At 34.9% G+C, this 23577-nt stretch overlaps 1 long non-coding RNA gene across 1 annotated transcript; it reads right to left on the bottom strand.

Annotated features, from left to right (window-relative positions):
* Positions 1-13235: 13235 nt before the first annotated feature.
* Positions 13236-23052, bottom strand: LOC105375301 (uncharacterized). The gene is made up of 3 exons (XR_927307.2): positions 22407-23052; positions 16667-16738; positions 13236-16134 (listed from the first exon to the last, which is right to left on the bottom strand). It is a non-coding gene; the product is annotated as an uncharacterized LOC105375301 (long non-coding RNA).
* Positions 23053-23577: the final 525 nt, after the last annotated feature.

Below are 23577 nucleotides of genomic sequence, written 5' to 3'. Positions count from 1 at the left end.
ATTTTTCTGGTTGAAGAGAGTTTTATTCTAAAAAGAAAAAATGTCTGAAGCAAAAAAAAAAGAAAACATATGCTCTTTTCTTATGTTTGCTCAAGCAGAATTTACCTCTGCAACTCATATAATTGGTGCTATAATTATGTACAGATATATTTTGATACTTCAAAGAATCTATAAAATTCCCTAAATGAAAATTATTTTAGATTAAACATGATATTAATGATCAAGACAGCTTTTTTTGCTTATAAGCAAGTTAGATTATATTGCTTATGAAAGTTTTTTTGTATTTTTATTTCATGTATCATGCAAAAATCATGCTAGACAATGAAAGGATATCATGTTTTCTCCTTTTTGCCTTATTACCATTTTTTTTTTCTGTGTTTAGTTCTGCCTTTGCTATATAGTGTGGAAATATAAAGAATTACAAGAGTTGCTCAGATGTCTTTTTCAAACCTCCAGGTTGCCAATATATTCACTTCATCACTCTTACCTGATTCCCACACATTCCTCTATGATCCTATAGAGCAGTATGTTTATTGTAAAATCTAACAGACCACCCAACTACGGTTTGCAACATCAAACCGTCATGCTTCTTGTACACAATATATTAGAAAAGTGGGTTTTTACATATCAGAGTAGAAATACATTTTGTACATATTTGAGGCATACTGTTATATTCTTAAGGAAATAATATTTTATTTAATTGAACCCACATGATTTTTACTATGATGTAATTACTCACTGACCACCAGGTCTACAGACAGCCTCTACCAGAATCAAGATACACATAGGTAAATTATTTTGAATACCTTTTGAAATCTGGGGTGCTCAATTTGGTCCACGCAGATTACCTTAATTAGTATACATCTATTGGTCATTGGCATACTTTTTAAAATGAGATATAAAATTATACAAATATCTGTAAGTTCTCTATAACATCTTTTTCTAGCAGCATTTTATAGCAGACAGAGGAGTTTGCTAGTAGATAGACAAAACAAAAAATAGAAACACTTCTTAAGCATACTTTTTTTACATGTCATAACATGAATCTACTATCATTTTTTAATTTTTACTTTTGTATTCTGAAAAAATGTTAAAATTGGTTATTACCACTGTTTCTCTGTTCTTTCCTAATAATGTCCTTTTCCTCTTTTGTCAGCATTTTAAAAAACATTCTTGTTCTCTAACACCTTTCTAGAAAATTCTGCTGACAAATTAAGTGGCAGCTAGAACAAGAGGAGATTTAAAGAATTATTGTTGATAATGAAAACAATGAAGTACATATTTGGCATGGGCATGTTGCATGTTGACAATATATCATTGCATAAATGTTTGAAATATTTTTCCTTTATGAAGTAATTGTCATCAAGATCAAAGCTATTGAATATATTTGCTGTATAACATTTTGTATAAAATAGATTTATATTGGTTTGAGCTGAACAGATATTTTTAATGAAATTGTCCTTGGCTAGACATGTTATGTCCATGTTATTTTAATTTTGTCTACTAACTGTCATTGGCAAAAATGTATCTAATACCTTACCTCTTTCCTCTTCTCTTCCCAAATCACATACAACTGAAAGATGCTAGACGTTAACAGTTCTGGTTAAGTAGTCTTCTAAAATGCTTTTTCATTTATGTCTAGAGAAAAAAATGTACAAAAATTCAGGACAGATTTTTCTTCAAGGTTTCAAGAGTAGACCATATATATTTTTTCAAGTAAATTTCTAAAGCTATATTTTAGAAATCAAAAAAGAAATATTTGCATTAAAACCATTATTCCCTTAAATTTTTAGAGGATTCTGTTTGACTTTGGCATGAGTAAAGTCCATTCTCTTATTTGCAGTGCTATTAGATATGAGGAGTTTTAGCAGAGATCCTGGAACAACTGCTGCCTATCAGGGTGTGAAATCAATGACATGGATTCTTGTAGAAACTATTTACTTCGCTATATCTCCCCAATATATGTATATACAAACAAGATATTTGATGCTGGTTTGAAATCCACAGCAAGAAGTACACCAGGAAGCATCAAAAACTATTAAGTATATTCAAAAATAGTTGAATGCATACCTCAGTTAGCAATGTTAACAGAGTTTGTGTCCCACAACCATTAGATTTTGCTACCCATAATTATCAGACCAAATTAATGTGAACACAACATCTTCACTCAAGGACACTATCATTGCAAATATCTGCTCATTTCAAAGCAATATAAATATGTTTTATACAAAATGGCACATAGTAAATGTATTTGATAGCTTAAATCTTGATGCCAATTACTTCATAAAGGAGCAAATATTGTCAAATATTTATGTAATGATGTATCATCAACATGCAGCTTGTGTTCCTTTAACACAGTAAATGCTTTCTTCTGAGAGAAAAGGGGCCTTGATTCTTCTATTTACTCATTCTTGCTGGAAAATTTTGCAAATATAGAAAGAAGAATGAATCTAGTAATTTTCCTTTTTTTTTTTTTTTTTTTTTGACGGAGTTTTGCTCTTGTTGCCCAGCCTGGAGTGCAATGGCATGATATTGGCTCACTGCAACCTCTGCCTCCTGGGTTCAAGCGATTCTCCTGCCTCAGCCTCCCGAGTAGCTGGGATTATAGGTATGCGCCACCACTCCCGACTAATTTTGTATTTTTAGTAGAGACGGGGTTTCCCCATGTTGGTCAGGCTAGTCTCAAGCTCCCGAACTCAGGTGATCCGCCAGCCTTGGCCTCCCAAAGTGCTAGGATTACAGGCGGGAGCCACTGCACCCGGCCGAACCTAATAATTTTTTAGAACCTCTTCCGTGCAAGCCAGACATTGTCCTAAGCATTTTAGAGACACTATCTCATGTATGTGTTTGAAAAAGATCCCTATGAAAGCTAATGTTTCTAAACTGTGAAAGATACCTTATTTGCTCCTTTAAATTCATGTGCCACTTTTTCCCATTACCTTTTTTAACATACATTATGTCTTCTGGGTCCTCTGACTTCTAAATGGCCTCAGCTCATGGTGAACCCTTAACAGGAGCTGCGAAGGATAAAGAGTTAGACCAGCATACTAATTCATCTTGCTTCTTCCCTGTAAGTAGCTACATCTTTAACCACTGATTCAAACAAAGCACAGACTGTACAAGATGTTTTACTTCTGATTTTGAGTAATGCACCTTCTCCTTCAGATGTGCTTGTGGTAAGGAAATGGCTGCTAGGAAGTGACAGGTTACTTCACTATCCTTTGTGGTATCTGTACCCCAACCCTAATCCATCCACTTGTAAATTAACCCTTCAGGAATTATACTTGTCTCCGTGTTCTATGTGTACTGCTTATGAACTGACATCTGTGTAAACTGTTGAGAATTCGAGAAGCTTAACTCAAACATTGTTTGAACATCTTATGGAAATAGATGGTGTGTCTCCACATTTCTATGAATATTAAGAGTGTTGATTTTTACTCTGTTGATTTTTAGCTTCTGTAAAGGTAATTTTTATTTTTTTATACTTATTTTTATGTATCATATGACTATTAATTGCTCCCAGGTAATGTGGACTAAAAGGGCTTTCTTAGTTTACACACACTCATGCACACACATACACAGATATGTATGCACGTACGTGAGACATTTGGAATTGTAAAACCTACTTCGGAGTGAAAAGGAAAGGGCATAGGCAAAATGCCATGGCTTACCTACAACTACAATTTGGATATTAGATATTTCTCTTTTGTTCTCTCTTCATAGAACTGCTTTGACTGCTCAGGCTTTTAGGGGCTCCAAATGAATTTTAGAATAGTTTTTTTTTTCTAATTCTGTGAAAAATGGTATTCATAGTTTCATAGGGATAGCATTGAATCTGTAGATTGCTTTGGACAGTATGGTCATTTTAACAATATTGATTCTTCCAATTCATGAGCATGGAATAATTTTGCATTGGTGTCATCTATGAGTTCTTTTACCAGCGTTTTACAGTTTTCTTCTTAGAGATCTTTTGCCTCCTTGGTTAGATGTATTTCCAGGTATTTTAATTTTTGTAACTATTTTAAATGAGATTATGTTCTTGTTTTCAGTCTTAGCTTGAACGTTATTGGGGTACACAAATGTGACTAATTTGTGTACATTGGTTTTTTTATCCTGAAGCTTTCCTGTAATAATTTATCAGTTCCAGGAGCCTTTTGTAGGAGTCTTTAGGTGCGGAATAATATCAGGTGAAGAGAGATAGTTTGATTTCTTTTTCTATTTGGATGCTCTTTTTTTTCTCTCTCTCTTGTTGATTTCTCTGGCTAGCACTTTCAGAACTATGTTGAATAGGAGTGGTGAGAGTGGCCATCCATATTTTGTTCCAGCTCTTAAGGGAAGGCTTCCAGCTTTTGCCTCTTCAGTATGATGTCAGCCATGGGTTTGTCATAGATGGCTGTTATTAGGGAGCATGTACCTTTAATGTCTAGTGTCTTGAGAATTTTTATCATGAACAGATGTTGGATTTTATTGAAATATTTTTCTGCATCTCTTGAGGTGGTCATATTTTTTTTGTTTCAAATTCTGTTTATGTGGTAAATCACATTTATTAAATCCCACATGTTGAACCAACCTTGCATCCCAGGAATGAAGCCTACTTGATCTTGGTGAATTAACTGATGTGCTATTCAATTTGGTTTCCTAGTAAATTGTTGAAGATTTTTGCATCTCTATTAATCAGAGATATTGGCCTGTAGTTTTCTTTGTTGTTGTGTCTTTGCCATGCATTGATATTAGGGTGACGCTGGCTTTGTAAAATGACTTGTGGGGGAGTCCTTTCTTCTTAATTTTTTGAAATAGTTTCAGAAGAATTTGTAACAACTCTTCTACATACATCTTGTAGAATTTGGCTGTGAATCCAGTTGGTCCAGACTTGTTTTGATTAGTAGGTTTTTTTTTTAATCACTGATTCAATTTCAGAACTCAATGTTGGTCTGTTCAGTGTTTCAATATCTTTCCCATTCAATCTTGGAAGATTGCATGTTCTCAGGAATTTATTTCTTCTAGATTTTCTAGTTTGTGTGCATAGAGGTGCTTATGATAGTCTCTGAGGATCTTTTGTATTTCTGTGTGATTGGTTGTAATGTCACCTCTCATTTCTGTTTGTGCATAATTAGACCTTCCCTCTGTTAGTGGTCTAACAATCCTGTTTATATTTTCAAAAAATAAACTTTTGGTTTTGTTAATTCTTTGTATGGGTTTTGAGGTCTCAATTTCATTCAGCTCCACAATGATTTTAGTTACTACTTCTCTTCTGCCAGCTTTGGAGTTAGCTTGTTATTCTTTTTCTAGTTCCTCTAGATGTGATGTTAGATCATTAGTTTGCAATCTTCCTAAATTTTTGAGGTAGGTGTTTAGCTATAAACTTTCCTCTTCACACTGCTTTCACCATATCCCAGAAATTTTAATATGTTTTGTCTCTCTTCACTTATTTCAAAGAATATTTTTCACTTCTGCCTATATTTTGTTGTTTGCCTGAAAGTTATTCAGGAGTAAGTTGTTTAATTTCCTTGCAATTTTGTGATTTTAAGATATCTTCTTGGCATTGATTTATATTTTTTCTTCTGTGTTCTGAGAATGTGGTTTGTATGACTTCTATTTTTTTTTTAATTTATTGAGACTTGCTTTATGGCTGAGCATGTGGTCCATCTTGAAATACGTTCTATATACATATGAGAAAAATGTGTATTTTGTCGTTGATGAATGGAAAATTCTGTAGATGTCTATTAGGTCCAGCTGACCAAATATCAATCTTAAGTCCAGAATTTCTTTGTTAGTTTTCTGCCTTGATGATTTGTCTAATACTGTTGGTGAGTTGTTGAAGTTCCCCACAATTACTGTGTGGGCTGTCTGGGGCTCCTTGTAGATCTAGAAGTATGTGTTTTATGAATATGGGTGCTCCAATATTGGGTGCAAATATAATTAAGATAGCTTAGTCTTCTTGTTGAATTGAACCCTTTATCATTATGTAATGCCTTTCTTTGCTGTTTTTTTACTGTTACTGGTTTGAAGTCTGTTTTTTCTGATGCAGGAATAGTGACTCCTTCACCTTTAAATTTTCCATGTGTGTGGTAGATCTTTCTCCAACCCTTTACTTAGAGCTTATGGATGCCATTACATGTGAGATGGGTCTCTTGAAGACATCAGATAGATCGGTCTTGGTTTTGTTTTTTTTTTAAGGTTGATCATATTTTAGAAAGGTATTGAGAAAAGTTGTCTTTCTGATAAATGTCATACTTCAGTAAGTAACAACTTGAGATTCACATCACAGAATTTGCCTTAGAGGTTGAGCAATAATAGCCTTTTTTTGGCTAGGCTTGTAGCTTCTCTAAAATTTCAGAATCTGGCCGGGTGTGATGACTCATGCCTCTAATCCCAGCATTTTGGGAGGCCGAGGCAGGTGCATCACGAGGTCAGGAGATCGAGACCATCCTGGCTAACATGGTGAAACCCCATCTCTACTAAAAACACACAAAAAAATTAGCCAGGCATGGTGGCGGGCGCCTGCAGTCCCAGCTTCTCAGAAGGCTGGGGCAGGAGAATGGCGTGAACCCGGGAGGTGGAGCTAGCAGTGAGCCTAGACTGCGCCACTGCAGTCCAGCCTGGGCAACAGAGTGAGACTCTGTCTCAGAAAAAAAAAAAAAAAAAAGAATTATCTCTCAAAAAAGTTTTATATGCAACTTTTTTTTATGTTTTACTAATATGAAGATGCATAGCATATAACGCACAAGTAATAAAATATTAGTTCCTTTTTCAGGGGGAGTTTTTGTTAATTTTTGCCAAACTCTTAAATCCATAGATAACTGACTGCAATTAGCAAATAAATAGAGTTTCAATATGAATATTGGTTACTATTTTTATATACATTAGTGGTAAGATAAAAGTAGCATTAAAAGCATTACTTGTTCACCAATGATACACTCTTCTGAGAATCAGAATTTTTTAATACAAGGATAATATGTCCGTGTATGTTGGGGCAGTTCACAATGTAATGGTTACAGACATAATTTAAAAAATAATTTGCATTATTAACATACTTTTATTCTTTATTTTTACTTTTATTAATTACTTTTATTCTACACAATCAACAAAATATTAAATCAAACCCTGATATGCGGTGTTAATTTTCATGCTGTAAATACTCTCTTCATGACTGAATTACAAGCTACAACCTGAGACCATTAATAGGAAGTTGGAGAGATGCACTTTAGCTTGCCATTATTTAGTGTTGCCATGATACAAACATCATCTATGTAAATATTTTCGGTAGCATAAATCACAGCAAAATATAGCGAAATACTTAGGAAGTGATGAATTTAAATTTAAATTTATTTTTATATTTAAATTTAAATGTATTTTCCTTATTTTTAATATAATTTAATTATAAATTAAAATGTTTATTTTTAATAATTTCTGTGTCTAAAAATGACCTCAAAATATTTCTAATAATTTCATAGTTGTATCTCATAAGTTGATATGAGATAGCTCTCAAACACAATTGTGTATAACTAAAAAGTCTAGAATTATAGCTAGTTTTAGAGTCAGGAAATAAAATGATGTGGTCAGAATTTTAATTCTCTCATCTAGGGAATAGCTAAGATTTAATTTTACATCTAGATTGGGTCACATGTTCACATCTGGACAAATTAATTACAGCCATCCAGTTAGAATACACTAGTCAGAACTGGGTCATGGACAACTTCTAGAATTTGCAGATTTATCAGGTTCACCTACACCTCATTGATTCAAACTTAAAAACATTATTCCATCAAAGAAAATTGGAGAAAGGAACTGCTAAACATTTATTGCATACTCTTTCCAAAAATATACACATACAGTATAAAATACTAACTAGTAATGAGAATATGTTTCTTGAAAATTTACTATATTTCAAACACTGTGCTAAAAACTTTTACATATTATCTCTTTAGATAAAATAAGACAACTTCATAATTAACATTATTTATCTTCATTTTAAATATGAGTAAGTCTCTAGTTATATCTTTCTATTTAAGATCATATATGGAAAGTATTAGGATGGTGCAAAAGCAATTGTGGTTTTGCCACTAAAAGCAACGGCAGATTACTTTTAGTTTGTAATAGTAGATTGTAATATGTGTTAAAATCTGTATTCCAATCTTGACTCCAAAACTTACATTTTACATATAGAATGCAACACACTTAGTGAACCCCACGTTCTCATCATTAAAAGTCCATTCACTTTTGTTCATGGCACTTTTGATCATAGCGTCGTAGAATATTTTAGCTGCAGAAGAAAGCTACCCATTGCCTAGAACATGAAAATAAGTGAGAGGTACTATCAATCTAGGATAAAAACAGTAGAACATGGCTCTAATGTATGAAGAATGTCTTCTTTAGGAGATCAATAAATAGTAAGTTGATTAGACAAAAACATGTGATTGACTAAGTTTGAATAATGAAAAAAGAAGGGGAAGACTAGAGCGGCAAGTAATAAGCTGAAGCTGGGGACACATGAAAAATTAGTAGAAAAAAACTTATTGAAAGAAAAAGTTGCAAATGCCTTTATTTTTGTTTATTTTAGGTCTATATGGCTTGATTAAGCTTTTCTTCCCAAATCCATGTATTCCAGGTAGATACAGTGAACTTCATTAGATTTGCTTCCAATAGTTTGTAGTCATTGTTTAATTGGGGATTTTTCTGCTACTCCAAATATCATATGGAATCCCAGTCATCTCTTATTGTCTTTTTTAAAAATGAACTCGCCAATATTTTATAGGTAATACAAGTCCAGAATAGTAAAATTATCCAATAAAGGCAAGCCAACTAATCAATTAATCTGAAAATAAAATTGTCACCTGAAATTCTCCTATGTAGGGGTCATTGCTGTTAAGCATTAAGGCCATCCACTATTGTGGGGCCAATTTAGTTCTATACACTTTCTGATACTCTCAACTGTGTCACTATAACATGTATCCCTTGTCCCGAACACCAAGTCTTTTTCTTATTCTTCTACTCTCTCAAATTCTTAAAATTAGACCCAGCATTGTCTGAAGGAAGAACTTGGGGCTGGGAATTAGGATCTTATCAATGAAAATGAAGTAATCTAAAGGTCACTGGATATCTTTAGATATTTATTAACATAGATGAAATATGGCTAGCAACATAGTTAGAAGCATAAGATATTGTGAACAGAAAATAAGAAGATGAAATTATCTAAAATAGGAAGTATAAAAAAAATCAAGGACATCGGAAGTGAGCCTGGGGGAGCAAAGTTTACTCCATCTTTTAAATAATGATTTTCTTTATTTCTTTAATAATACATTCTTTAGAAATTGTAAGGCTAGGTATTAAAACTTGTGATACCAATGTGCTCAAATTATGTCTACCCATTGGAGATTCTCACTTTTATTTTTTCAATTTATATTTTAGAAAAATTACTTGTCCCTGTTTAAATGTATATTCATCCCAAAAAAAACATAAATAAGATGTATAGTAGACTCAATACTTTTAAAAAAACTTAAATTCTAACATTCTGTAGTTCTTCCACATCTCATTTGTAAACCAAGTAACTGATTTTTAAATTAATGCCCTATAAATAGGTTAAATTTATTTTTAAATTTGCCCTCCAGAGAAAAGGGTTGTAGCATTTTATTTTCAACATACAAAATCAATTTAGATATTGAAATAACCTTGTCATTGGCAGATATTCTAACAGATGATCTAACCACTAATTTTTGCCTATGATTTATAGCAATTTTTTATTTGAATCTGTAGGATGTAAATACTTTTTACGCTGAACATGTCACCAAACAGTACAAGACTTTAAGCTAAAAGTTGCTAGAAAATACATAGGGACTCTTAAGGTGTTTGAAACAAAGATTTTACAAGGCTTATCGTCTGCTGAAAGAAAAAAAAATCATTTCTTCATTTCCAATAATGTCAGAATAGACAGGCCATTGTTGCACACATAACTGATTCTGACTGTGAGAATGAATTATCCCAAGTGAAATCCTCTAAATGCTTGCTTAACGCTATAGGATGAAAATTTGCAAGCAAGAAAAGTTGAAAAGCAAGCCTTGGGAATGAAAATTTGCAAGCAAGAAAAGTTGAAAAGCAAGCCTTGGGGGAAGAAACAGAGTATCAACATCACAATGAAATCTGCATTTGCCATTTTAAGTAGGATCCTGTAGCAGGACGTAGAGGAGCCTGCTGTGTTTAAAAATGATCTTTTGCCCTTGTGTGTATATGTTTCAGCATTGAAATAATCAGTCCTCTTTCAAATATAATTTGATAGCATAATTAAAGTACCCCACTAGCACAACTTTTGAAGCTAAGCTTTTCCTTTTTCTTGTGCACTTAGAAATTTTTTCACTTGTATTTGATAGCCCAGACCAATTGACTTAGAATTCCCTGCCTGATACTGTAAAGAATGTACTTCTATTTATGTCTTTTAACACATAGAATGTTCTAAACTGTCACCTCTAGTTATGGTAGCATGTAGGCAATGAAGCCTAACAGGACATCTGATTAACTAGATGTGACATGTTAGTATCACAGTACATCAAATTTGATATAACGCCCTTTTTTCACTTTGTATTATAAAATATTAGATTTTGCTTTTTTGTTATTTTTTGCTTTTCTTTTTAGATTCAGTAATACATAAAAATATCAAGTTTTAAAATTTAGTGAACCCAAGACCTAACGCCTTGAAGTAATTAACAAATGAGACAACATGTCTTTGCCTGTGCATATGCATTTAAACATATTTATTAATACAATCATGTTGGAGGCCTTGATTTACACAGCATCTTTTAGATAGTCAGAGGTTACTTTGGAGCAGCCTATACTTTTGACCTTTAGCAATGTTCTTGCAAACCAGTCATTCAATTCTACTGGAATGAGATTAAAACAATCCAAGTATGGCTGTGTATTCATATGCTTCTCCTTGTGTCCCTCTCCCCTCCCACCACCCCAAGGCTCTGGTAAAGAAATTTTTGTTTTTGTTCTCCAGACTCCTTATATAGGTCTTAATCTATTACTCTTTATTCACCAATGTCTGTATATTATAGTGACTGATTTCTTATTAATTCCTCTACCGAGACTCTTCTGCAAAATTCTTGAGAAAATGAATTCATTAAGTCCTCTTAAATTCTGATTGCAGTTTATGGTTGGCTCTTGGATTTTGGGATTCAAGTCTACCATTCACAGCCTAGAGAGACAAACATGATAGCAGTTGTTTTCTTTTGGATAAAGGAGTTAAGAGTTCTTCCATATAAACAGTTGGGGAAAAAGCAGACATATTTATTAGGCCCTATTTAAGAGTTTATTGACTCTGTTTAAAAAAATCATTAAAAACTTCAAAAAAAAGCAGAGTGCGGAAGTAACTTTCAATGCTGAACACTGAACATTGAAACTTGAACATTAAAGCTTGAACATTGGCTTACAAACACACCAACAGAACTATTATTATATGTATGTAACTTTGACTGTATGAATTTACATGCCAACTTGTAGATTTCTCTTTGTAGAAAAGAAAACATGAAAGATTAACATATTGTTTTATAGGCTGTTAACAAGTGCTGTATTTTATCTAGCAGTCTTATTTTAACAGTTCTCTCCACATTATCTTTATATGCCTGTTCCCCAAAATGTATTTTAAACCAGTTTTACCTTCTTTTTGGTTCCCTCATTAATGAGTTGTATATAATCTTAAAATATGTTTATCCTAGGTTTGTGTGAGAATCATCTTTTTAGTATTAAACTTCTAACTGTTGGTTATGTCCCAGATAACAGAGGAAAAGAAATGATTATACTTGAAGCATTTTTTTATTCCAATTAATCTCCATAATCTATTAAATTTAGCTCAAGTTACATTTGTGGAATGACTACTTATACAGGTAATGTGATAGCACCTGAAAGGAGAAAGGTTTCCTTGTCCCCCTTGCAGGGCATGTGACAGGGGAAGCGGCTTGCTTCTTCAGTGCCCCGCTGTTCAGACCTCTCCAGGAGGATACAGATGGGCAGGCTGTGGGGCTCCGACCCCACGGCAGTGTCCAGGGGTGAATGTTTACAGCTCCTGAAGCCCCAGTGGGTGAGTGTTTATAGGGTGCTCTTTTAGTTTTGCCATCTATAGGCTTGTGTTAACCACCTCAATTACACCCCCTACCTTGCTGCAAGGACAGAGGGCTTTCTGTACTCCAGGTTCTTGCCTTGATGTACTGGAAGAATTGGCTCACACTTGGGGTTGGAGAATGAGTGCAAGGTTTTATTTAGTGGCAGTGTCTCTCAGCAGATGCGGGAGCCAGAAGGGAGATGGTTTTACCCTGATGTGGGGCCGTGGAGCTTCTCCAACTGCTCTGGCCAAATTCTGCATCATTCTGCTGGCCGATGGCCTGCTGGCCTGCCAGTATCTTCCACCTGCTTGCTCCTCTTGACATCCTCTCGATGTCTAGCCGCTTGTGTGTCTGCCTGCTAGGGTCTCAGAGATTTTTATAGACACAGGATGCAGGCATAGCGGCCAAGGGTGGTCTTAGGAAATGCAACATTTGGGCAGAAGGCAGGTGAAACCCTAGCCAGGGACCATGCCCTCCTTTACCCAGCACTTCCCTTCCCCACTTCCGTATCATTTAAAGGGACCATGCCCTTCACTTCCCAGCACTCCCATATCACAGCTACTCATAAAAAGTGTCTACTGTCTGGTCGCTTCACTCGAAGAGATCCATGTAAGAAAATTTAAAAGAAGATATACAAGATAATAAATGGTAAATATTTATAGATAGTCATAATAAAGTAGATCATAAGAAAGGTGAAAGGCTGTAGAAACTGATTAAATAAAAACGTTATCTACAAATTCAGAAAATATACCATTCCTACTAAAAATTAAGTACATATTCAACTTATGTTAAAAATGACACTGTAACCTCTCTTCTGCTCTCGATGAAATCAACTTTTCTGTCAAATTTAAAGGATGATACTGTACAGCATTTCTCACTAACCATATTTTTTCAGCTTTTTTCTTTCTATTCTAACAACCCTTTAATTTTCTCAACATTCTTGGCCGATGGCTCTTACTTAATGCACCAGGCATTCAACAGTCAGCTACTTGGAATGTGACTGATATGGTGGATATGGATGTTTCCTCTGCCATTAAGGACATCAATTGCAACTGAAGAGTAACCACAGACAAAAAAGGCTTATGAGAAAATAACTAGTTCTCCACAATTTAACACTCTCAGTAAAAACCACCCATGACTTCATAATGTAACATTCTTTATTTTGGTACAAATATGAAAAAAATCAGATTCATAATACATTTGTCTTGAACTTTTTTTACTCATAAAGAAGAATTTTATCAGGAACGCTCACCAGTTCTACTGCCTCAGCTTTCTATTAGGCATGATTTTAGATGCAAAAATGTTTCTTAAATGAGGTTTTATATTGATCTCCCATTGTACTCAAGCACTCCCTAACATAAAAAACTCACAAGTATATAGTAAGTTTGAAGATAAGAGATTTATAAGTTTGATTTTCAATAGAAAGTACTTTATCCTAATTTACTTAGAAGAGAATAGCATATTTAGAAATGAAAAATAGTTTTCACTTTTTAATGCAACTAGTTAAAAATAGTTAACTGACTCTCATAAGGGGAAGGTATTTTGTAGTACTTAAGACGAATGATATACTTGTAAATATTACAGATACATTTTAAAGTTGACAGAGTATTCTCAGCAATTTTAAGTTATAATCTGTCAAAGACAAAATTATGCCACTACAGAGGATCCAAGATGATAGGTCTGATCTGTCAGTCATGAAGGTTTATAACAAATAGTATAGATTGAAGCAGATCAAGCATGAAGTCCAAGAAAATTGTCTACTGCTCTGTTGTATTGGCAAATTCCAAAGGTGTGGAGATTATAAAATTAGAAAGTGGCAAGTGAATAGTTTGAGAGACAATGGGCTCATCAATGGAGACATGACATAAACAACAGAATTACTTTACAAAAGGAAAATGGACATTTTTCAGAGACTGTCATCCCACCTATAATTGCTTTAACTAGTGCACAGATGACTTCCTAAGATGACAGGTATCAATCTTTTATCAACCTTTCTCTGCAGTGATGCATAGAACAGATGGTGTTAAGGTATCCAATGGAAGTGTCAGGGTCAATAACATAGGACATAATAATATAAAATCACTGCAACACTTATTCCACTGTTAGAAAAAAAGATAACAAAAAATAATGAACCAGATTACTGGCATTGAGGTTGAGCATGACGTCGCAGGAAAGACAAGGGCCTAAAATATGCCTCTCATTTATTTCAATAGGTATTTATGAAGCCAAAACTCTGTTCATATATTAGACAAGGTGTTGGAGAAAAAAGAATGAGAAAAAGAGAGGTGTGGTCCCTCCCTGCTGTCACAAAGTTTACTCAAATAACGTGTACTCAAGCAAGGAAGCAACATAGCATATTGCAATAGTGTGTGTTTCAATAGGAAAATACAAGTTAATTGCAGCAGCACATTTAGGAGGAAACAATTTTCCAGGAAGGATTTTCGGAGACATAGTTATTACAGGAGTAATTACTCATCATACTTAATACATATATACATTTATAATAGGTTGTACTTTTGTATACTACAATTCAAATGTGCCAACTTATTTTCTTTAGTCTATACAAGTTTATTTTCTTTAGTCTATACGAGTTTATCTTGCCCCATTACTCCTATTATTTAAAAAAAAGAAGAAAAATACATACATACATATGCATATACACATCTATATGTATATAACTCAGTCTCTACTGATTTAAAAATAGTTAATACTTATCAATTCAAATGTTCTCTCAAAGTCAACCAAAATTAACAGCCCCTGCTCAGAAATCATACATAAATCTAAAGTCTTCATGCTTATGTTGTACGTTCATGAATTTTTGTTTACAGAAATCAATATTTTATGCCAAAAATAGAATGCTGCTTAGAAAATAATTGAAAGAAGGAAATTCATTGTATAACAGAAGAGTAGCAGTTGACTGAGATAAAGAGATTGTTATATGCATGAGTTAAAATGCTTAATTGTGTTTGGATCCTATATCAGAACTAATTTCCTCTCTTTTTAGGTTAGCATTGAGATGAATCCTTTGATGATAAAGCCATATCATCACCTGTTTTACTCTAAACAAAGACATTTATAAAAATGGTAAACCTGATTACATTTCATAGTATTAAGAAAGATTCTTGTGTAAGATTGTTATTAATTTTTACAATGCTCCTAATGTCAGCTGAGGTAAAATTAATTAGAACAACCATACCTTAGGAAAATAGAGTCAAAGAGCAAAGATTATCACATATTTAAAGGAAATAAGAGCAGATGAAAGCTGTTCCTGAGGAACGAAGTAAAGAGAGTTTGAGACAGTGGAAGATGGAACAGGAAGAAAAAAAATAAGATAAAATGGTGACATCTCTTAAAACTGTTTTGGAAGAGTCATTTACACACTATGGATGAACAGCAATTTATTCCTGGAAAATGCTTGTTGCCCAGGTTGTGCAAATTCTCAGTTATGGATAGATTTAGTTATTGATCAGTCATACTGCTTTCAAGAATTTTAATGTTTTGATTTCTTAAAAAGTTCCCATGTATATAAACAAAGTCCATTTACTTGTTGGCATTATATTAGCCTCAGGGTGTTTGGAGGACTTGCATACTTGGAGACAAGGGCATTCCAGACGTCGGATGTTTTCAGGACAACCCTCTCACCCAGTGAGACAGATTGTATGTTTTTTTCACTGTGGCTTGCTCCTATTTATTCCTATTTCCTTCAGCCCAGAAAGGATTATTGTAATATATCAAGTTCATCAGCATTTTTAAAATTCTTACATTAATCTATTTAAATTGAGGTTCTATTTTACCTCAAAGATATCTATTACCTGTATTTATCTATCCAATCGAGTTCTTGCCACATATATTTTTTTTAATTCTGCAATTCCTCTGAAGATTTTAAGAGATCTTCGCTTGCTGGTTAGAATAATCCTCAAGTTTTTCTAATCATAGCACTTTTATTTTCTCATTCGTCTGATTAAAATTCTATCCTCTTCATTTACAAAGGTGAATATATTTGGAACTGTCATCTCCAATGAATGAAAAGCAATTAGAAACCCTAGAAAAGATATTTGAAATAATTATTACAAACCATTTTATAATTTGTTAATTTTTCCAGATTTCTATAAAAAGCAAATGCAAATAGGAAAGAAACAAGAACTGGGCTTTCATATATTTTCCAATCTGAGCTGACTTCAAGACTTGAAGATTAGCTAGTGGTAAACAAGAGAAAATAAATTTAAAATAAGGAGGATGAAAAATGTAGAAGTTATCAAAGATTAAAATTTTTTAAAATCTCAAAATTTTTGTTTAAAGAGATTCCCATCAAAGGAATTTGTATCAAAAAGACAATGAACAAAGCTGAAATGTAATTAGAATCAATAAGAAAATATCAGAGCTGGAAGGACATTAATAAATTCTTAGTAAAAATAGCATTATACAGATGAAAAAAAGTCAGGGGTCAAGAAACTTAATTGATTTGTCTAAGGTCATGTTACTTGTCAATTCATTTCCAAGACCAGTGTTTCTCCAAATAGAGATTAATGAAAAGAAGAAAGAAAAAGCAGATCTCCACTTTTTTTTTTTTTCACCTGGAGGTCCTGATTCATTTGGTGTGGAATGAAGCATCCAAATTTCCTGTTGTCTTGTCTAACAGCAGAAAACTATTAAATGGAAGAAAATAAGATGTGAACTGAAGTGGTAGAAAAAAATAAATGAGAAAAAGAAGAACAGGAGACTTTGTTTTTGGCAGTTTTTTTATTATACATATATCTACCTCAGCAGCCACATGAGGAGGGCTGGCTGGGTCTTTCTCCATTCTTTGGGCAAGTATATTTCAAAATATGTTTGAGACTATCACATCCAAATCACCAGACAGGAGATCATAGCTAGTCCCAGGCTTTTTTCAATGTAACTTAATAGAAATATCTGTGAATAGTTCCCCAAATTCTGCATTTTCAAAAAGCTCCCCACTTATGGAGCTGTCTCCTTGAGTGCAGGAAGGACAGGCTGTTTTACTTTATCACTGGGACACCAAGTACAGATCCTGGTTCCTAGGAGGTGCCTAGAAAATACATGATTGGTAAATAGTTAAATTGAATTAATAACTATAATAAGCAGTAAAACTTAATAAATGCTAATATTTTTTTAAAAATTGTACGTTTCTACTACTAGATATAGATTTTGGTTGGTGGTGGTCTTCTTTTACCAAAGTGTTGGTTTTTACACTTTTCCAAAAAATATCAGTTGCTATTCTGTACTCTATACAATCAGAAGGAAGTCAGTTTGAGCACATAAAAATGACATAATATTCTGTGGTATCAAGAATACACAGCTTGATACTTCAGATTTATTTTTATCTTTGAAAGATATTAATCAAATAAGTAATTTTTTAAAATGGAGAGATTTTAATAATTGAAACAAATACTAATTGTAAGAGTAAACTTGTAATGTAGCTGTAGGTTGAAATAAACTTGAAACAGTCTAGTGTCTGTATACCTTTTGCTTTCCCCAAGAACTATTTCTGCAAAATATCCACTAGCTTGCAGAGATAACCCACATAGACTAAGTTATTAATATGCAATCTTCCTTCCTGAAACAGTTTACATATGCAGTATACAGCATCTGGACTTGTAATTGAATTTTCAAAGTTTGCTGTGGTTTGGGAGCTGCATATGGGTCAGTAATCATTATCCAGACATCATCATTTATAGTACAAATACAATTGATCAACTCAATTATGGAAAGAGTCTCAGGGAAGGCTAGCACACCTATTTCTTAAACAAATATGTTACCCTCGAGCTGTAAAAGTAGCATTTCCATTAGCCATTGCCTTAGATTATTGTTAGATATTTGTTCTGGGATCTTTTAAAACAAGGCCCATAAGAAGAGTCAATATAAAAATCTTCAGACATAAGGTCCATCATATTATTCACAGAATTTAATCACTTTCTGGTTAACTCACTGCTCAAGTCAGCTTTGGATCTTTATCTTCTGAAGCTAATGTCAATAACACTTTATTTTTAATTTAACTAAATTCAGCTAACTGTAGGAGAAACAAATCATGGTTCTTTTTATTATTAGTTTCAGTAGATGGTTGCCAGGGCAAAATTGATAATTAGGGACAGTAAAGTATTCTTCAAATATTTTTTTCTTGTTACACATATGTAAGCCCAGGAGGTTGTTAAATGGAGATACTTTATAGATGCAGAAAGAAGAAAAAAAAATCAGTAAATATATGTTCTCACATTCTTGGGTCATTAGCTAACCTGACCAATTTCCTTTCCTCTTCGTCAATCCCGTTTTTTTTCTATTTTTTCCCTACTCCGAACAATTTATCTTCATGTTGCAGTGACTCACATTATGACCTACAAAACTCCTTGTAAAAAGACACACAACAGAAAAAGAGGCTAGTTGTGTAAGATAAATGCCAACCTAAAATAATGATAAAATATAATTTGATTGCAGGTTAAAGAAGAGAGAGGAAGGGCTATTTAATAGAGTTTTTGTTAAATATACGGTGAGCTTAAGGAAGAGGAACAGCTATTTGCCATCTTCACTGAAGTCACATGTAGCTTAGACTTAATATGAGAGACATGAAGAAGAGATTTTTGTCTGTAGATTTCTAATGGGAATTTTAGTCAGAGGACCATGCAACCATATAGTTTTGTTTCTTGTAAGATGTAGAGACATATGAGATAATTTATGAGCCATTCAACTTAAAGGTAGGAGGAAAGATCAATTGGTATTTTAAGGGTTCCTCTTTTCTGATACCATGTTGTCCTGGCTTCTTTGAGCCTCAGTTTTCCATCTCTGAGCTCCTTTGCTTTGAAGTTACAAAATACCACAGAGATCAAGGCTTACACTTTTAGCTGTTTGGGACAATGTCTGGTAGAACATGAGCAATGACCAAGAGTAAGCCGAGATCCTGAAGTTTTAGGGTTGTCTCTTCTGTCTCAAAATTTAACCCTTTCCAGTGATTTTAGTGGAGGATTGTGCATGAAAGAGACACCTGCTTCTTTCTTATTATCTAGACCTTGTCTATATCAATTAGATACATTTCTATCTCACCGAGGTACACTCCGAAATATTATATTTGCCCCAGTTCTCCCTGTGCCCTTGTTTCCTGGCCAGTTGTGAAATTTTGTTCTACATACTGCTAAGAAAATAAATGTACAATGTGATAAGTAGTGTTATGTAAAATGTGGGAGTTGTAGACTGAAGAAAGCATCTGGGCAAAGAAAACATAATAAAGTCAACAAAATGCTTCAAGATTGTTTTAAATTTTTATAAAGAGGAAACAACATAAAAATATGGTATGTGAAGGTAAAGAATTTCATGGAGGTTTCCAACTACACTTTAGCTATGGATATCTTTTTTTTTTTTTTTTTTTTTCAAAAGAAAGGTTTTGCTACTTTAACATGGACCTTAGATAAGCACTGAAGTTCAGTTGGAGAAACAGTAGGAAATTTGAAGCTTCTACTAAACCTCAGGGAATGTGGAAATAATTTCAAGAACCATGCATTTCGGCTCACATAACCAGTTTTAAAACCATAGCCCTCAATGTTACAGTCAAGTTTTGATGTAGCAAAAGGACATAATTATATTTACATTGATACCTTTAATATACAGCAATATATGATTTCTTCAAACCACGTAAGTGTAGACCATTAGTATTCCCTTTATGTCTTTTGCCTTAAACCAGCTATCATCAAAACACAATGTAATGCCAGTAAGGCTGTAAGAAAAGAAGGGAAGTGGTATTCTGGCCCCCTAATTCGGAGCAGGAGGGAGGGAACTACCACCTATCACTCCATGTATATGCAGGGCCAATTAAACCATGCAAGAATTTCTAAGATGAGTAAGTAGCTAACAATATCCTATTTCTTCTACTTAAATTAATGAAAAAAGTTTTGAGATTTATTTTAGGGTTTATTACCCTTTTCTTAAAATATCCATTTCTACCATCTCTGGAGATCTACTATCTTAACCTTAAGTCTCTGTTTTTATTAGTCAATGTTCATAATTGGAAGTATGTTTCCACCTCTGTCTCTCCTTCAAGATTAAACATTATGAAGAACAGGGCTCATGATTGGTGAATATTCATATATCTATGTTAACTTATATGGGACAATGTATTAATTGTTAAAATATGAATGTACGATACAAGACTTTTTGATATTGGAGGCTTCACGCATGAGTCCAAAGACACACCTATTATACAACTTAACATTTTCACAACTAATGGCCCATGTCAAAAAATATACACTTGAAGTATATCTTTAATAATTTTGCTTTTGAATAATTACAGTTATATTTTCAGGTGTTTTTGGAGTCTGTTTTGTTTTCGTGTTTTTTATTCCATCAAAAAGCTTACAGATTTTAGGAATTTGGATGTGTGTTATACCAGTCTAGATAATAATTGCTGATTACAATTAAAATACTAGGTCAAGTGAAAACTGGAACCAAGTTTAAAATTATTTTTATATCTCTTCACTCTTAGCCAGCAAAATATCCATGCTAGGTGAGATTATTATTCAAAATTATTGCTGTCCTCATCAAAGCAGCTCATATATTCCTTGCTAATACCATGTAACACCCACTGCTTCTCTGTGGGAGGAATATACTTCACACCGCTACTGTCAGGGTTGAGGATGTGACTTTGTTGGTGCATTTGTCAGCTTGTGCTGTAATAAGAAACTACTGTAGACTAGGAGGCTAAAACAACATTGATTTCTCACAGTTCTGGAGGTTGGAAGCCTGGGATCAAAGTGCCTGTAGGGTTGTTTTCTCCCAAGGCCTATGTCCTTGGCTTGCAGATGGTTACCTTCTTTTTGTGTCCTTGCATGGCCTTTTTTCTGGGTGCACACATCCCTGGTGTCTCTTGCTTTCTTCTTAAAAGGACACTAGTCCTGGCTGGGTGTGGTGGCTGATGCCTGTAATCCCAGCACTTTGGGAGGCTGAGGCGGGCGGATCATGAGGTCAGGAGATCGAGACCAGGGTGAAACCCCGTCTCTACTAAAAATACAAAAAATTTGCCGGTCGTGGTGGCAGGTGCCTGTAGTCCCAGCTGCTCAGGGGGCTGAGGCAGGAGAATGGCGTGAACCTAAGAGGCGGAGCTTGCAGTGAGCCGAGATCGCGCCACTGTACTCCAGCCTGGACCGACAGACCCAGACTCTGTCTCAAAAAAATAAAAAATAAAAAAAATAAAACAACCAAAGAACACTAGTCCTATTGGATTAGGGCCCCACCTTAATGACCACATTTCACCTTAATTGCCTCCTTAAAGGCTGTATCTTTGAATACACTCACATGGGCTGTTATATGCTTCAGCATGTGAATTTTGGGAGGACAAAATTTAGTCCATAACACCTGGGCTAATGGAACATGATTTAAAGTTTTTGCAAATTCTGAGTAAAAGATGAAAGATCCATTTAATGGTTGCTACAGCTCTCTTCCCTCTGCCATGAGGCCACTGTGTAGTCAAACAAGGCTGCCTCTTTACTGTGGGTTCTGGATTAAACAGGACATTGAACAGAACAGTAGACTACTTGTTACCACCATGTAAGGAGAAAATCAAGAGAATCTTTTTGTTTTCATCATTATGATTTAGAGACTTTCATGTCTCTTGATATCACAACTTAGCCCAGCAAGAGCTAAGTAATAAAGTAATCATTACTTATAAATAGAAAGCTTTTATTAAATTATGTGGCTTTGGTTTTGGAGGCAGGCTCCAGGCAGCAAGGGATTTATTATTAATGGTTGAATAAAATGCAGTAACAAACCATTTGGTAAAACTATTTGCTGCAAGTACCTAAAAGGCAATTGATAAAGCAAACAGGCTCCTGGTGATGTTACTAACATATCACTCTCTCCCCCAACCACTAATTAGCTACATTTACTAGAGCGACAAAAAGTGCTACAAGAAAAAGATGAGCTCAGAAAAGCACTGGCCAGTTTAGAAGAATTAAAAGAGAAAAAAACAGAAATTATCGGACTTGCAGGATTAAGATGTAAGTATTTTTCATGTCCAACTTGTAAAAGATAAGAAATGTTTTGAGTGACAAGTCCAATTAGGACTCAGTCTTTGATTTAGACAAAATCCAGAGAATAGCTTTCATATCCTCGTTGAAACCAACTAATTAAGCAACATGCCAAAATTCCTTTCAGCTCGACAAAAGGGCTCCATGAAGAGACTAAGGATGGACTTTTACATGAAAGTCTGATAATTTAATAAAACTATATTTTAATTTAGAGATAGGCTTTCATATGCAAAATATCATGGATGTAACTACAGGTATGCTAAGATGACTAAAAGAAAAACAATTTTACCCTTTCTTCCAGTTGATTGCATCTGCTCCTGAGGCTTCCGCATTCTTCACGTAGTTCTGGAGCCTTGGTTTTCAGCTCCATCAGCTCCTTTAAGCACTTCTCTGTATTGGTTATACTAGTTATACATTCTTCTAAATTTTTTTCAAAGTTTTCAACTTCTTTGCCTTTGGTTTGAATGTCCTCCCCTAGCTCGGAGTAATTTGATCGTCTGAAGCCTTCTTCTCTCAGCTCGTCAAAGTCATTCTCCGTCCAGCTTTGTTCCGTTGCTGGTGAGGAACTGCGTTCCTTTGGAGGAGGAGAGGCGCTCTGCTTTTTAGAGTTTCCAGTTTTTCTGCTCTGTTTTTTCCCTATCTTTGTGGTTTTGTCTACTTTTGGTCTTTGATGATGGTGATGTACAGATGGGTTTTTGGTGTGGATGTCCTTTCTGTTTGTTAGTTTTCCTTTTAACAGACAGGACCCTCAGCTGCAGGTCTGTTGGAGTACCCAGCCGTGTGAGGTGTCAGTGCTGGGGGGTGCCTCCCAGTTAGGCTGCTTGGGGGTCAGGGGTCAGGGACCCACTTGAGGAGGTAGTCTACCCGTTCTCAGATCTCCAGCTGCGAGCTGGGAGAACCACTGCTCTCTTCAAAGCTGTCAGACAGGGACATTTAAATCTGCAGAGGTTACTGCTGTCTTTTTGTTTGTCTGTGCCCTGCCCCCAGAGGTGGAGCCTACAGAGGCAGGCAGGCCTCCTGAGGTGTGGTGGGCTCCACCCAGTTCGAGCTTCCCTGCTGCTTTGTTTACCTCAGCAAGCCTGGGCAATGGCGGGCGCCCCTCCCACAGCCTCGCTGCCGCCTTGCAGTTTGATCTCAGACTGCTGTGCTAGCAATCAGCAAGACTCCGTGGGCGTAGGACCCTCTGAGCCAGGTGCAGGATATAATCTGGTGCGCCGTTTTTTAAGCCCATCAGAAAAGCGCAGTATTCGGGTGGGAGTGACCCAATTTTTCCAGGTGCCATCTGTCACCACTTTCTTTGACTAGGAAAGGGAACTCCCTGACCCCTTGCGCTTCCCGAGTGAGGCAATGCCTTGCCCTGCTTCGGCTCACGCACGGTGCATGCACTCACTGACCTGCACCCACTGTCTGGCAGTCCCTAGTGAGATGAACCCAGTACCTCAGATGGAAATGCAGAAATC

This window comes from Homo sapiens, chromosome 7, assembly GCF_000001405.40.
Source record: "Homo sapiens chromosome 7, GRCh38.p14 Primary Assembly".
NCBI lineage: Eukaryota > Metazoa > Chordata > Mammalia > Primates > Hominidae > Homo > Homo sapiens.
The sequence above is the reverse complement of the archived record's forward strand: the minus strand, read 5'-3'. Positions and strand labels throughout refer to the sequence as shown.